This window comes from Homo sapiens, chromosome 3 (genome assembly GCF_000001405.40).
Source record: "Homo sapiens chromosome 3, GRCh38.p14 Primary Assembly".
Lineage (NCBI taxonomy): Eukaryota > Metazoa > Chordata > Mammalia > Primates > Hominidae > Homo > Homo sapiens.
The window spans coordinates 40,037,001-40,051,429 of record NC_000003.12 but is presented as its reverse complement, the minus strand read 5'-3'; the positions used below and the strand labels follow the sequence as shown (position 1 = coordinate 40,051,429).

General features: G+C 38.2%; 1 protein-coding gene across 6 annotated transcripts in view; it reads right to left on the bottom strand.

Annotated features, from left to right (window-relative positions):
* The window catches only part of MYRIP (myosin VIIA and Rab interacting protein), a 451,408-nt gene that overhangs the window by 208,892 nt on the left and 228,087 nt on the right, over positions 1-14,429 (bottom strand). For all 6 annotated transcript variants that reach the window (NR_104316.2, NM_001284423.2, NM_015460.4 and 3 more), the window contains exon 3: positions 7,159-7,380. Coding sequence is in view for 5 of the 6 variants with exons in the window: in NM_001284423.2 (NP_001271352.1) it covers positions 7,159-7,380 (222 nt within the window). In the remaining variant the exon portion in view is untranslated. The remainder of the gene's footprint in view (positions 1-7,158; positions 7,381-14,429) is intronic.

Genomic DNA, 14,429 nt, shown 5'->3' with positions numbered 1-14,429 from the left:
TGCAACAGCATTGTGCCCCAAAAATGTACACAGCTAATTAAAATACATTATTGCTAAAGAAACACTAAAAATAATCTGGGCCTTCAGTAAGTTGTAATCTGTTTGTTGGTTGAGGGTCTTGATGTCGATGGTTGCTAACTGATCAGGGTGGTGGATGCTGAGGTTTGGGGTGGCTTTGGCAGTTTCTTAAAATAAGACAATTATGAAGTCTGCCATGTTGAATGATCTTCCTTTCATGAAAGAGTTCTCTGTAGCACGTGATGCTATTTGATAGCATTTTACTTACAGTAAACATTTTTCAAAGTTGAAGTCAATCCTCTCAAACCCTGGCTACTGCTTTATCAACTAAGTTTATGAACTATTCTAAATCATTTTTTTGTCATTTCAACAATGTTCATAGTATCTTCACCAGGAGTAGATTCCATTTCAAAAAACCATTTTCTTTGCTCATTCGTAACAGGCAACTCTTCACCTGTCCAAGTTTTCTCATGAGATTGCAGCAATTCAGTACACTGTCAGGCTCCACTTCTAATTCTAGTTCTCTTGCTATTTCTATCACATCTGCAGTTACTTCCTCCACTGAAGTTCTGAATCCCTCAAAGTCATCAGTGTGGGCTGGAATCAACTTTTTCCAAACGCCTGTTAATATTTTTACCTCTTCTCACAAATCACAAATGCTCTTTATGACATCTAGAATGGTGAATCCTTTCCAAAAGGTTTGTTTTCAATTTACTTTGCCAAGATCTATCAGAAGAATCATCTGTGGCTGTTATAGTGTTATGAAATGTATTTCTGAAATAAGACTTAAAAGTCAAAATTACTGCTTGATCTTGGGCTGTAGAGTGGATATTATGTTAGCAGGCATGAAAACAACGTTCATCTCCTTGTATATTTTCATCAGAGCTCCCAGGTGATCAGATGCATTGCCAATGAGCAATAATATTTTGAAAGGAATCTTTTTTTTTTTCTGAGCAGTAGGTCTCAAAAGTGGGCTTAAAATATTCAGTAAACCATGCTGTAAACATATGCACTATCATTCAGGCTTTGTTGTTTTATTTATAGAGCACAGGCAGAGTAAATTTAGCATACCTTTTAAGGGACCTAGGATATTTGGAGTGCTAAAATGAGCACTGGCTTCGACTGGAAGTCACCAGCTACATCAGCCCCTAACAAGACAGCCTGTTCTTTGAAGCCAGGTATTGACTTCTTTTTAGTTATGAAAGTTGTAGATGGCCTCTTCTTCCAGTAAAAGGCTGTTTTGTCAACATTGATGAAATCTATTGTTTAGAGTAGCCACCTTCATCAATGATCTTAGCTAGATCTTCTGGATAACCTGCAGCTCCTCCATCAGCACTTGCTGCTTCACCTTGCACTTTTATGTTATAGAGATGGCTTCTTTCCTTAAACCTCATGAACCAACCTCTGCTAGCTTCAAACTTTTCCACTGCAGCTTCCTCACCTCTCTCAGTCTTCACAGAATAGAAGAAGAATAGGGCCTTGCTCTGAATATGGCTTTGGCTTAAGGGAATGTTGTGGCAGGTTTGACCTTCTATCCAGACCTCACAAACTTTCTCCCCATCAGCAATAAGGCTATTCCATTTTATCATTCATGTGTTCACTGGAGTAGCACTTTTAACTTCCTTCAAGAGCTTTTCCTTTGCATTCACAACCTGGCTAATTGTCTGGCTCAAGAAACTTAGCTTTTGGCCTATCTTGGTTCTCAATATGCCTTCCTCACTAATCATTTCTAACTTTGATTTAAAGTGAGAGATGTGTAACTTTTCCCTTTTTTTTTTTGAACACTTAGAGGCCATTATAGGGCCATTAGTTGACTGAATTTAATATTGTTGTGTCTCAGGGAATAAGGAGGCCTGGGGAGAGGGAGAGAGATGCGAGAACCACCAGTCAGTGGAGCAGTCAGAACACACACAATACTGATAGATTAAGTTTGTCCTGTCTTATATGGGTGTGGTTTGTTGTGCCCCCAAACAATTATAATAGTAACATCAAAGATCACTGATTACAGATGACCATAACAATAATAATGAGAAAGTTTGATATATAATGGAAAAGTCTGAAGTATTGTGAGAATTACCAAAACGTGACATAGAGACATGAAGTGAGCCTATGCTATCGGAAAAAGTGGCCTCGACAGACTTGCTCAATGCAGGGTTGCCACAAACCTTCAATTTGTAAAAAATGTAATATCTGTGAAGCACAGTAAAGTACAATAAAATGAGATATGCCTATGACGTACAAAATGACAAAAATTAGAGTGAACAATTTTTATAATGAAGCAAAGAGCTAGAAAGCTAATTTGTTTCCAAGGAAAGTAGGAATGTTGTTCCCAAACCAATTAGGCCCAAAATGATTATGACTGATATGTATGGTCTGGGCTCACTCTGAAAAGTTTTGCTTCCTGAAGAAGACCTTAAATACAAGTACTATATGTCTTTATTCATAATGTTTGAATGAATGCATACAATAAATTGTCAAGAAGATAAATCTATATATAATGAAAAAATGACAAAGGGATGATTCAGTAGTATCCCATTTTCTATAGAACTTCCAAAATAAGTAATTCATCATTCATTCTATAATACATTTAATTTTTTAATCTCCCAAAGCTAAAAATTTTAGATGAACACTGATAACAGAAATACATTTTAATGCAAAATATATGAAGCAAAATTACTAACAAAGAACCAAATGATTACAATTACAACTTTAAAATTCTCAAAATGCTTTTACTGAACTAAATAATCAAACAGAAAAAAATATGGATTGTTTTTCACTGAGATGAAAAGAAGAAAGTTAAAGTTATAGGTTACCACGTTTTTCTTAGAGACTTGACACTGTCTGGGTCCTCTCCTGATGAATGCCATGTTTCTAATCCGACTCTCTCATTTACAGCTGTACAATAGACAGCCCCAGGTATTTGATACAGTTATTACTTCTGAGGCTATTCATATTGTAGGATGAATGTCTACCTTTAATTCCTACTCCTTTTTTGTGGACAAGAATTTTTATTATTATAATTATTCATAGCCCACAGTATCTCAAAAACATATGCATATTGTAGCCACTGGATAAATAGCTAGAAATTAAACCAATGTAGCAAAAATGGTTTCATTTAAATAAGGAAAGGAATGCATCTCATGGGTAGTGGGGAGTGAATATGGGTCTGAAAGTGGCCTCACAAAAGTGGTCATCTGTGTAACCTCATAGACCTACTATCAACTATTGAGATTTCATATACAAACACAAAATGTGCTCTTCATAGAATCTGACATACAATGTTTTAAAAACCCACTTGCTTGAAGATGAAAATTCTAGAAGAATGTTCCAAAGAGTAGTGTCTAAAGTAAATCAGTTCTAACCAAGAAGGGAGTTTCAGATTGAATGAAGGGCAGAGGAGCTACTGGACAAAGTGGACAAGCAGCCCTGAGTGTCCATACTGCCACAATATTCAAGTCACGTAATCCTTAAATGTGTTACATGATGAATTTGGCTCTAGCACTTGTGTAATGTTGATGGGTTACACAGTTTGTTGATATATAAATAAAATTAACTCTTCTAAGGCATCCTTCAAAAAACAAGAATGTGATCCAGGTACAACATAAAAGACTGTCCGCTCACAGGCCATACATCCGTGGTACTTTGAAAGACATACTTCTCTGTCAAACAGGGCCTTAGAGACATTTCAGGATGCAAAAATATGCCACATATTTCATGGATTTCTTTCCTAGACAGGTTCCTGTGATTGAATTGAGCAATACAGAAAAATAGGGAATGAACAAAATTTCTCCATCCCTTTGGGTTTCAGCCAATAATAATCTCAAGACATAATACAAGATTAAAGCAGCAACATTTCCAATTTCTCCTCAGCATCCCCTTTCTGCCAGCTTTGATTAAACAAGTGTGGGTGTGTTCTGTTTGAGCTAGACACATTGAATGTGGAAGACTCCTCAGTAACCCTCCACTTTCTTAAAATAAAAATGGAACAAGGGTACACTGGCTGTTGCATGTCTTTCCAGGTATCCTTCTATGAATGGTTCTTTATTTTCTAATGCTCAGCTTCTGAGACTCAGGAGCTGTCATGCAATATTAACACGAACATGATGCAAGATTAAGTGAAATGGGACTACCTAAGCCTCCTGCCTCCTCATTAAGTTGCTAGAAATATGAAATGAAAATTTAAAATATAGTCTTGGCAGCCATTGCTGCCTTTTTTACAACTTATTTTTCCAATATCTGACAAATTATTGAGACAACATTGTACAAGAGAAATAGCAAATGGTTGGCATCAGAAGATCTTGCTTTTGCGAGGCAAGGTTCTTCCATTTATAGGTGATGGGATTCTGAGGTGGTGCATCAACTACTCAGCACTACTGGTATTTGATTAATGCAATGTGTCATTTAATTGTAACTAATAATAGATGCCTGCATACAACTCATGGTAAATGTGGGGTTGACAGGCTGTGACTGCACTCTATTGCTACTAACTGTTTAGTAAATTTGGTGACTTTTCTTACTCGGGGAGAAGAGGACTAGGTAAATATTGAAAGAAATGAAATCATGTAGGTACTGATACTTCCTTTTATTTGTGGGGGAATATGCTGAAGCACAGTATAGTATACTTTAATAACGGCTAGGGTTTGACATTCCAGTGATTTCGCCATCCCTTAAAGATCAAACGCCAATTCTTCACACAAACTGACCCAATCACTTGCCATCATCCCGCTTCAATAGCGGTCTGCTTCAGACCCTCCACACACCTTGGGTGACTCTGCTTTGTTTGCTCATGCCACACATTGTCTGAGAGTGTCTCCTGATTCCTCCTCTCCAACTGAGTTCCATCTAGGATGCCCTCCTTTTCCATGAAACCCCTTTAGGACATCTAACAGTCTCTGAGTCCTTTCCTCTAAAATTCCTAAAGGCTCATTCTGTACTATGCATCTGGCTGCTATAAACATCGTCCTGTTCTATTTGGGTCACAAAGATTCATGTGCTTTCTATGTGTCAGGCTCTGGTGCTACAAATGAAGAAGACAGTGTCCCTGTCCTGGCGGTGTTTACCACCAGTTGGTAACAAACGTCAGTGTAGCGCATGCAGCCATGGCAGATGTTTGAGTCAAATGCTACATGGGACTTGCCCAACTTGGTAGGTGCAGAATCATAACATGCAGTCATCTCATCTTCTCCAACTCCTTATGTCTCTCACATCCTGACCTTCTAGTTCCTTCTTCTCATTTCAGAAAAACTTGTCACCTGGCTCAATTCTTCACCTCCATACTGTGGCCACTATCCTGATTTTTTCCAATCATATGGGCACTGGTATTTTGGTCCCTTAACTTCTTCTTCTAGACATTGTCTCCTCTTCCCATGGTCACCACTCAACTGATCTACTTTAGAAATCACAAATTCATCTTTTTCTCTATATAGAATTTTCATTTTTTCCAATTTTCTCTATCAAGTACTCCCACTGTGACAGTTCTTTGACTTTACCAGATACTACTTCTGGCTGACTGACCCCTTCATTTTCTCCCCATCCATCCATAGCCCCTTTCTGTTTTTCCTTACTATCCAGATTCTGTCTTTACATTCTTCACTGTCCAATATCCTTAACTCAGTTACCCTCTGACCTGTCCCAAGCCCCACGAAACTCCCAATCTGTGGGAAGATTGAAAGAAAACAGATTCATAATTTGTTACAGGAACTTGGCTTGAATGTGTGCATCCCAAACTCCTGTAATGCCTATTTAGATCTACTCTTATTTCTTCCAACATCCAACTGTCTTGTTCTCAGTGCCACAATATTCAAGTCACGTAATCCTTAAACGTGTTACATGATGAATTTGGCTTACCCCACCTTGACTGAGAAATAGAAGGCATGGATGAACCTCTCTCTGTTGATCACTCCCAGATGCACGCTCATCTATAATCCCAGTTTCCTCCTTCCCTTTGTTGTTGCAGGGCTTTTCCTCCCCCTTTCAAGCTGCCATGTGGAGACCCAGATGGGCTCCTTGCTCTGACCAAGTCAGGCACAGGACCTGCGTAGCACCCAGCCTTGGATACTGGGTGCTTAACATACCACTTTTTGTTTCAGTTTGTGTCTCTGGAATGAATATGAATATATATATTTTGTAGCCCAGAGCCTGATTCCTTGGAGACCCCAAGGAAACTTGGCAGCTGTCCCCATTAACTAGCTCTATGGGAAAATTCTAGGTCTTGATGCATTAAAGGATACAAGCGAGTAAACAGGGCAGGGAGAGGAGAAAGGAGGAAAGAAGGAAAAGGTGTGGGAGGCAGGGGCTTCTGAGTGTGTGCTCCCAGGACCTGCTCATCTCTGCTTCACTCATTAACAGGCATTTTGGAAGCATGCAGCAAATACGAATCACAATGCACACTACAGATGCTAGGATCAGCACAGACAAATACCAAACACTGGTTTATCATACTCATCAGTTTCCAAATACTCAACAGATCAAAGAAGTGCTCTGCTGGTCGCTGAGGGAGAATGTGAAATGCCATGCTTGTTATTTCCCTCGCAAAGTTGTCTTCATCTCCCCTTTCACAGCATTGACTCTTTTTTGTCTTTCACAATCTTGCTTTTATTTCTTGTCCTCTATGAAGCTTTCTCCAAGCCCTAGGGCCAGTCTCTCCTTGCTCAGTGCCCTCATAGCCAATAGACAAACTAGTCAGGGCATGTATCTCCACATATGAAGGCCCAGCACTTACGTATCACACCATCCGCTATGCCTCTGAGTCACTCATAATTGGCCTAATTCACCATCATGTTTCCTGCACCCAGCATAATTCCTAAGAATCCAACACATGCTTATGCAATGAACGAACGAAAGGATGAGACCAGATGAGAAATTCCAAAAAGATGAATAACATATGTAGGAGCTGCATCTTCAATCCCAAGAAAGCCCTTTCTATTCACACCCAGGTGCTCCTGGGGGGCCCTCTCTCATCCTCCCTATAAAGATCAACAGGTTTCCTTATCCATGCATCTCTCTTCAGCAAGCTATTTACTTTGGTCAATACTCTGTGTTGATCTACCAATCATAGCTGGTTCTACCTGACTGAAGGAAGTGGCAGGTGAATCTCTCTAAATCAACAGTGTAGACCCTGGGAATGCACCAGCCACTCACCTCGCTTGCTGGCAGACGCAGCAGACCCAGGCCTTTTCGTGCTTCTGGTAGGAGCAGCAGCTCTTGCAGACATTGAATTTGCAATCTCCACACTGGCGCTTGGTGTTGACGAGGAAGGTGAAGGGCGAGCAGCAGCGCATGCAGCAGTGCTCCACAAACTGCTGGTGCTTCGAGAGGATGCTGCACTTGCTGCCTTCCTCATCCAGCTTCTGCTTCAGCTCACTGGGAAACCAAGGTAGGGGAAATGGGAGGAGGAGAGAAACACAACATCAGGTCAGGGGGTGTCTCCCCAAAGCATGCACCCTGTCCCTCCCTTAGGCCAAGCTACCATGTAGGACCTTCCTGGAGAACAAGAGAACTCAGAAAGATCAACTGCTCAACATTATGTCCAGAGAAGAACATTAATCGTAGATTAGTTTTGTGTACTCCTGTATGTCAGATTTTCTATGAGAAAGCATGAAAACATTATCACTTCCATTTCAGAGACTACATTGAGATACAAGTTATTAAAAAACTAATAAGCATATCCTTGAAAAATAAAACCTTTAACTTAATTAATGCCTTTTTAAAGGAGCAGGAGATCACTTATGATAAAACATTAATCCTCACACAGCCCAGCTGGGAATATGATAAATGCAGTCCTGGCTTTATTTAACATCCCTGGAAACTGAAGTACTCAAGGATTTTTAAAAGCTTTCAAATCTATATGAGTTAATAAGGATTCTATGGGTGATGGGCAGATCGAGGCACTGGTGATTCATAGTTGGATAAAAGAACAATTCTGTTCTTTTAAAAAGCTCCTGGTCACTGGGCACACAGCCAGCCACACTAATGCAAAACATAACGGTGCATACACTTCTCTCTGTGCTCAGTGAGAAGAAAAATACACTGCCAACAGGTTGAGTAACCTGGGGAAAAAAAAAGAAAAAAAATTACCCTGAATCAGCAGGTTTGAGTTGTTTTTCCTGCTACGAAAATGGGGGTCCCCAAAGAACAGTAGAAAAATTATTATTTTTACTACTATTTTACTATTACTATACTATATTACTAGACTATAATTTTTACTATTTTAGTACTATATTACTAGACTACTACTTTTACTATTTTCCTACTGTTGCACACTATCATTATAATAGAAAAACACAGTCCCCCACTTATAATGGTTCAACTTATGATTTTTCAACTTTTTGATGATGCAGAAACTACATGGATTCATTAAAAAGCACCAGAAAGTGATACAATACTCTATCATGATGCTGAGCATAGCAGCAGTGAGCCACAGCTCCCAGTCAGCCATGAGGTCATGAGGGAGATATTCTATGGTGGACTATGTTTTACTATGTTGTCAGATGACTTTGCCCAGCTGCAGGCTAATGTAAGTGTTCTGGGCATGTTTAAGTTGGCTGGGCTAAGCTGTGATGTTCAGTAGGTTAGGTTTATTAAGTGCATTTTCAACTTATGACAGTTTCAACTTATGATGGGTTTACTAGGACGCAATCCCACTGTAAATCAAGGAGCGTCTATACTAAATTTTACTACAGCATTCTACTATGATAATACTTGATAGTATTTTACTACTATTTACTACTACTATTGTTTTACTACTATTTTACTTTATTACTTTTTTTACTTTTTATCTTTACTACTATTTTTATTTTTACTATGACTATTTACTACTCTTTACTACTATTACTATTTTTTATACCCAGTTGTGATTATGCAGTTAAAACTAGATATATTTAAGATGGATGTGGCAAATATATTCTCCCGTTCTGCCCTTGTCTTTTTATGTTTATGGTGTTTATTCTCATTTAGAAATGCTTAATTTTTCTGCAGTTAAATCTGTCAGGCTTTTCTTTCATGGACATTGGACTTTATGTCTTGCTTGAGAAGGCCTAGACCACCCCATCAGTTTATATACATAGTCAATTAGCCCCTGTAGTGGGTTGAAGGTTGGCTCTCTTTTTTTTTTTTTTTTTTTTTATCCTTCCAGTCTTTATTATATGCTTGCTTTTACATAGTTGTTATAATATACACATAAAGTATTTTGTATCCTGCTTTTATCATTCAACATTGTACATGTTATAAGCATTTTACTATATTGTTATATATCTTCACAAAGTTGATCTGTAAAGCTGTGTAATTTGAAGGCATCCATAGGGTGACTGTACCATAATTTTGATTCATCCCTTGTTGTTGGATTCTTGGTCAGGGGTTGTTTGTTTTGTTTTATTGGTAACTTTAAAATTTTGAATACAATTTCAGATTTACAGAAAAGTTGCAGGAATATCACAAAGAACTCCTATATATCTTTTATCCAGATTTACTGAGTGTTTACATTTTATCCCATTTGCCTTATCTATATTTCATGTTGCATTTTCTTAATCATTTGAGAATAATTTGCACAGATACCCCATTATGCCCAAAACAGTATGCATTTCCCTAAGAACAGGACATTCTCTTCTAAGAGAAGAAGAGAATTACTTTAAGCATTATTCAGTATTTTTTTAAGTATTATTATCAAAATCAGGAAGTTTAACAGTGATTTAATACTGTTATCTAACCCATGATTCATATTTAAATTTTGCCATTTATCCCAATAATGTCCTTTGTAGCCATTCTTTTACCTTGTGCAGGATCGTGTTACATTTGTAAACGTGTGTCTCTCAATACTGCAGATTCCTCAACTTTCTTTTGTCTTTCATTACCATGACATTTTTGAAGAATACAGGCTATTTTGTCGAATGTTCCTCAGTTTGGATTTGTGTGATGGTTCCGCATGACTAGGTGAGGGTTTTACATTCTGGGTGGGAATATCACAGAAGCAGTGTGTCGTCAGTGCGTCGTAATCAGCATATAATGTCAGTTGGTCCCATTAATGTTGTTAACTCTGTTCACCGCTTAGGTTGGTGTCTGCCAGATTTCATTTTAAATTTACGATTTCCTCTTTGTAATTTACAAGTAATTTGTGGGGAGATACTTTGAGACTATATGAGTATTTTGTTCCTCATTCACCAGTTATATAGTATCAGTTGATTAGTCTTGTCCCAGTTATTACTGTCATGATTGACCAACATGATTTCCTAACTCCATAATGCCTTCTACATTTATTGGTTGACATTCTACATACAAAGAAAAACATCCTTTCTCACCATTTATTTATTCACTTGTTTATCAATATGGATGCAGGGATTCCTGTTTTACTCAGAGTTGCAAGCCATTGCTTTGATTTTTTTTTTTTTTTTTTTTCTGCTGGTAATATTTTCTTTTTTTTTTTCTTTTTTTTTTTTATTATACTCTAAGTTTTAGGGTACATGTGCACATTGTGCAGGTTAGTTACATATGTATACATGTGCCATGCTGGTGCGCTGCACCCACTAATGTGTCATCTAGCATTAGGTATATCTCCCAATGCTATCCCTCCCCCCTCCCCCGACCCCACCACAGTCCCCAGAGTGTGATATTCCCCCCTTCCTGTGTCCATGTGATCTCATTGTTCACTTCCCACCTATGAGTGAGAATATGCGGTGTTTGGTTTTTTGTTCTTGCGATAGTTTACTGAGAATGATGGTTTCCAATTTCATCCATGTCCCTACAAAGGATATGAACTCATCATTTTTTATGGCTGCATAGTATTCCATGTTGTATATGTGCCACATTTTCTTAATCCAGTCTATCATTGTTGGACATTTGGGTTGGTTCCAAGTCTTTGCTATTGTGAATAGTGCCGCAATAAACATACGTGTGCATGTGTCTTTATAGCAGCATGATTTATACTCATTTGGGTATATACCCAGTAATGGGATGGCTGGGTCAAATGGTATTTCTAGTTCTAGATCCCTGAGGAATCGCCACACTGACTTCCACAATGGTTGAACTAGTTTACAGTCCCACCAACAGTGTAAAAGTGTTCCTATTTCTCCACATCCTCTCCAGCACCTGTTGTTTCCTGACTTTTTAATGATTGCCATTCTAACTGGTGTGAGATGATATCTCATAGTGGTTTTGATTTGCATTTCTCTGATGGCCAGTGATGATGAGCATTTCTTCATGTGTTTTTTGGCTGCATAAATGAACAGACACTTCTCAAAAGAAGGTTGGCTCTCTTAAATGATATGTCCATGCCCTAAATCACTGGAATCTGTAACTATTACCTTATTTGGAAAAGGGGTCTTATAAATTAAGAATTTTGAGATGTAGTTATCCTGCATTATATGAGTGAGCTCTAAATCCAATGACAACTGTCCTTTAAGAGACACACAGAGAAGGCAATGTGAAGACAAAGGCAGAGATTGGAGTGCTGTGGCTACAATCCAAGTAACACCAAGGTTTGCCAGCAGCCACCAAAAGCTAGGAAGGAGGCATGGGCAGATTCTCCCCCAAGAGACTTGGGAGGGAGTGTGGCCCTTCCAGCGCCTTGATTGTAGACTTCTGACCTACAGAAGAGGGAGACAATACATTCTTATTGTTTTAAGCCACCTATTTGTGATAATTTGTTACAGCAGCCTCAGGAAACTAATATAGTTTCTACCTAAAAAAAAAAAAGGGAAAACAGTAAGTACAAACTTTCCTCAACACTATATTCTCATCTAATTACCACTCTCTTATAGTCGTAACCTCTTCTAGTTAAAATTCCTGAAAGAACCATCCCTGGTGGTCAATATATGTTCTTTATTTCCACTCACTCCTGGATCTACTCCAATGGGCCTTTTGTTCTTTTTCTTAAAGAAAACAAAATATCTGCTTGAGATCCCCCACTGATCTTCATGTTGCAAGATCCAAAGGGACTTTCTAGGCCTTGTCTTACCTGATTATTCTTACATTCTTGAAATATTCTCTTCCCTTCCTCGTGTTACTCTTGTTTTCTCAGCCCTTTTCCAATTCCTTTGCAAGCTATCTCTTCCTCCTATTCTGACTTTTTAAAAGTTAGACAAGACTTTTTAAGGCATGATAAAGTATTTATTCACTGATGAAGATTGTTTTCAACATTAATGTTAACCTTTTATTGAATAGATTGTTTGAGGCATGGTCTATGTGACTAGGTAGACTTTCTCCACCCCAACTTTCCTCAAGCATGGACAAATCCCTTCTTTTCAGTTCATTGAAGCAACAGACTCTAAGGTGTGGTGGGTGATGGACGTTTATTACCAATGGTTTAAGGGTAGTGGAAGGTAATGGAAGAGGAACCCAGCTCCAGGCCGAACAGAAAACCATTTCATGTGGGCATGCTGCAGTTAAAGCCCTCAGCCACCACCTTTGGGATTCCTTCATTGGCCCTGTCACTGGACATGTTGCTGTTCCATCTCTGCCTATCCAGATTCCCATATGTCCCCTCTCTTCTCTTGTTCCAGGGCCCTTCATGGCTGGTTAGAGGAAAATTATCCAAAGCTGCGACCTAACTGGTAAAAAATGGCTGCATATGTAGGAGTCACCTTGTCTGAATCACAAGGCATGGGAGTAAATGAATCAGGACACAGGTAAGCAAGAAGGAAGACCATGAGAATTACCTTTCTTTCTCTCCCCTGCCCCTTTGTTCCCTCTCTCTCCTTCCCCTGTCCCCATATTTTTAAATTAAAAGGATAGTATTATTTATACTATTTTAATTATGAAACCTAAAAAATGATCTATTTTTGTTTAGGTTTTCAAGTGTGTTGATATAAAGTGGTTCACAAATTTCTCTCATGATTATAAGATCTCTGCTACCTCTGTCATTATGTCCCTCTTTTCTTTCAGAATATTGTTTATTTGTCCCTTGTTCAGTAAGTTCAGAGGTTTACTTATTTCATTAATTTTAAAAATAACTAGCTTTTAGTTAGGTTGACGGTTGTCTACATGGTTTATTAGTCCTCCATTGCAATAAAGTCCAGTCTTATCTTTATTATTTCTTCTTTCTACTGGTTTGAGTTTATTCTTTTCTCTAATTTTTAACAAGTAAAATTTTTTAAAGTAAACTCACTTTTAACATTTACTCTTTCCTAATCTATGCATTTAAGGCTATAAAACTCTCTCAACACATCATTTTTGTTGTACCTTGCAGGTTTTAAATAAGAAATTTTTTTATTGTCATTTATTCTTACATATTTTATAATTCTCAGGTTTAAAAATTTCCAAATATGTGGCTTTTGTTATTAACTTTTTTTTTTAACATTTTGATCAGAGCGTCTCAAATAAATTCCTTGGTATTCATTGAGACTTTCATTATAGCTTCATAGTTAGCCAATTTGTGTAAAGCCCCATATGTGTTTGAAAAGAATGTTTATTCTCTACCGACTGATAACAAGATGCTAACCAAAAAGTGATTGAGGCAGGTCTCAATGGATAGAGGTTTATTTAGCCAAGGTTGAGGACACTTCCAGGAAAAACACAAGTCATGGGAGCATCTGTGACCTAAGCTTTTTCCAAAGAGGGTTTGGGAACTTCAGTATTTAAAGGAGAAAGTGTGAGCCAGAGAGAAAACAGGAAGGGGGGTAGGCAATGATGTAAATGGTTACATTCTTGTGAGGCTCTGATTAGCATTCACAAATCTACATTTCACATGTGAAAAGAGGGTGCAGAGGGAAAAGTCAGCTCTGCATCCATCTCAGGGTAGGCAGGAGGATGATTTCTGGTCTTGTCATTGTCCCATACCTGTGACAATAAGCTGGTAATTGACATTGTCAGATGAGAGTCAACAGAACTCAGTTTTAGGACTAGTTTATAGGGGGATATGTATCCTGAAAGATTTAGTGGCTCACAGGGAATTTCCTTGTGAGAAATTTGTGAGGGAGACCATCTGGGGCAATATGTGTTGTAAAAGGAACATAAAGTCCCCAGACCCCAAACCCACTAAGCCAAAGGGAAAAGACAAGCTGGGAACTAGGCCATGCAAACCTGCCTCCCTCTATTCCTAAATAGACAGCTACAAGATAAAAGGCTATATATCTCCCTTGCAATTTGCTCACAAGGAAGTCCCTTTACTTCCATTCAATTTTACCCTGACAGTGTAAATTAACATCTTATCTTCACAGGTACGGGACAAAGGACAGAATTAAAAGTCATCCCTTGGCTCACCTGAGACAAATGTGTAGCTGACTGCTTTCTGTACTCCATGATTATTTTATCTTATGCAAAAATGCAGATTCACTGAGAGCAAGACATACATTTATATTGAAATTACTAATAGATTTGGACTTTTTTCTACTATGCTGTGTTTTATTTTCTATCTACCATGCCTTTTCTGTTTCTTCCTACTTTCTATCAGATTGATTGGTTTTCTTTGCTCTCTGTGTTTT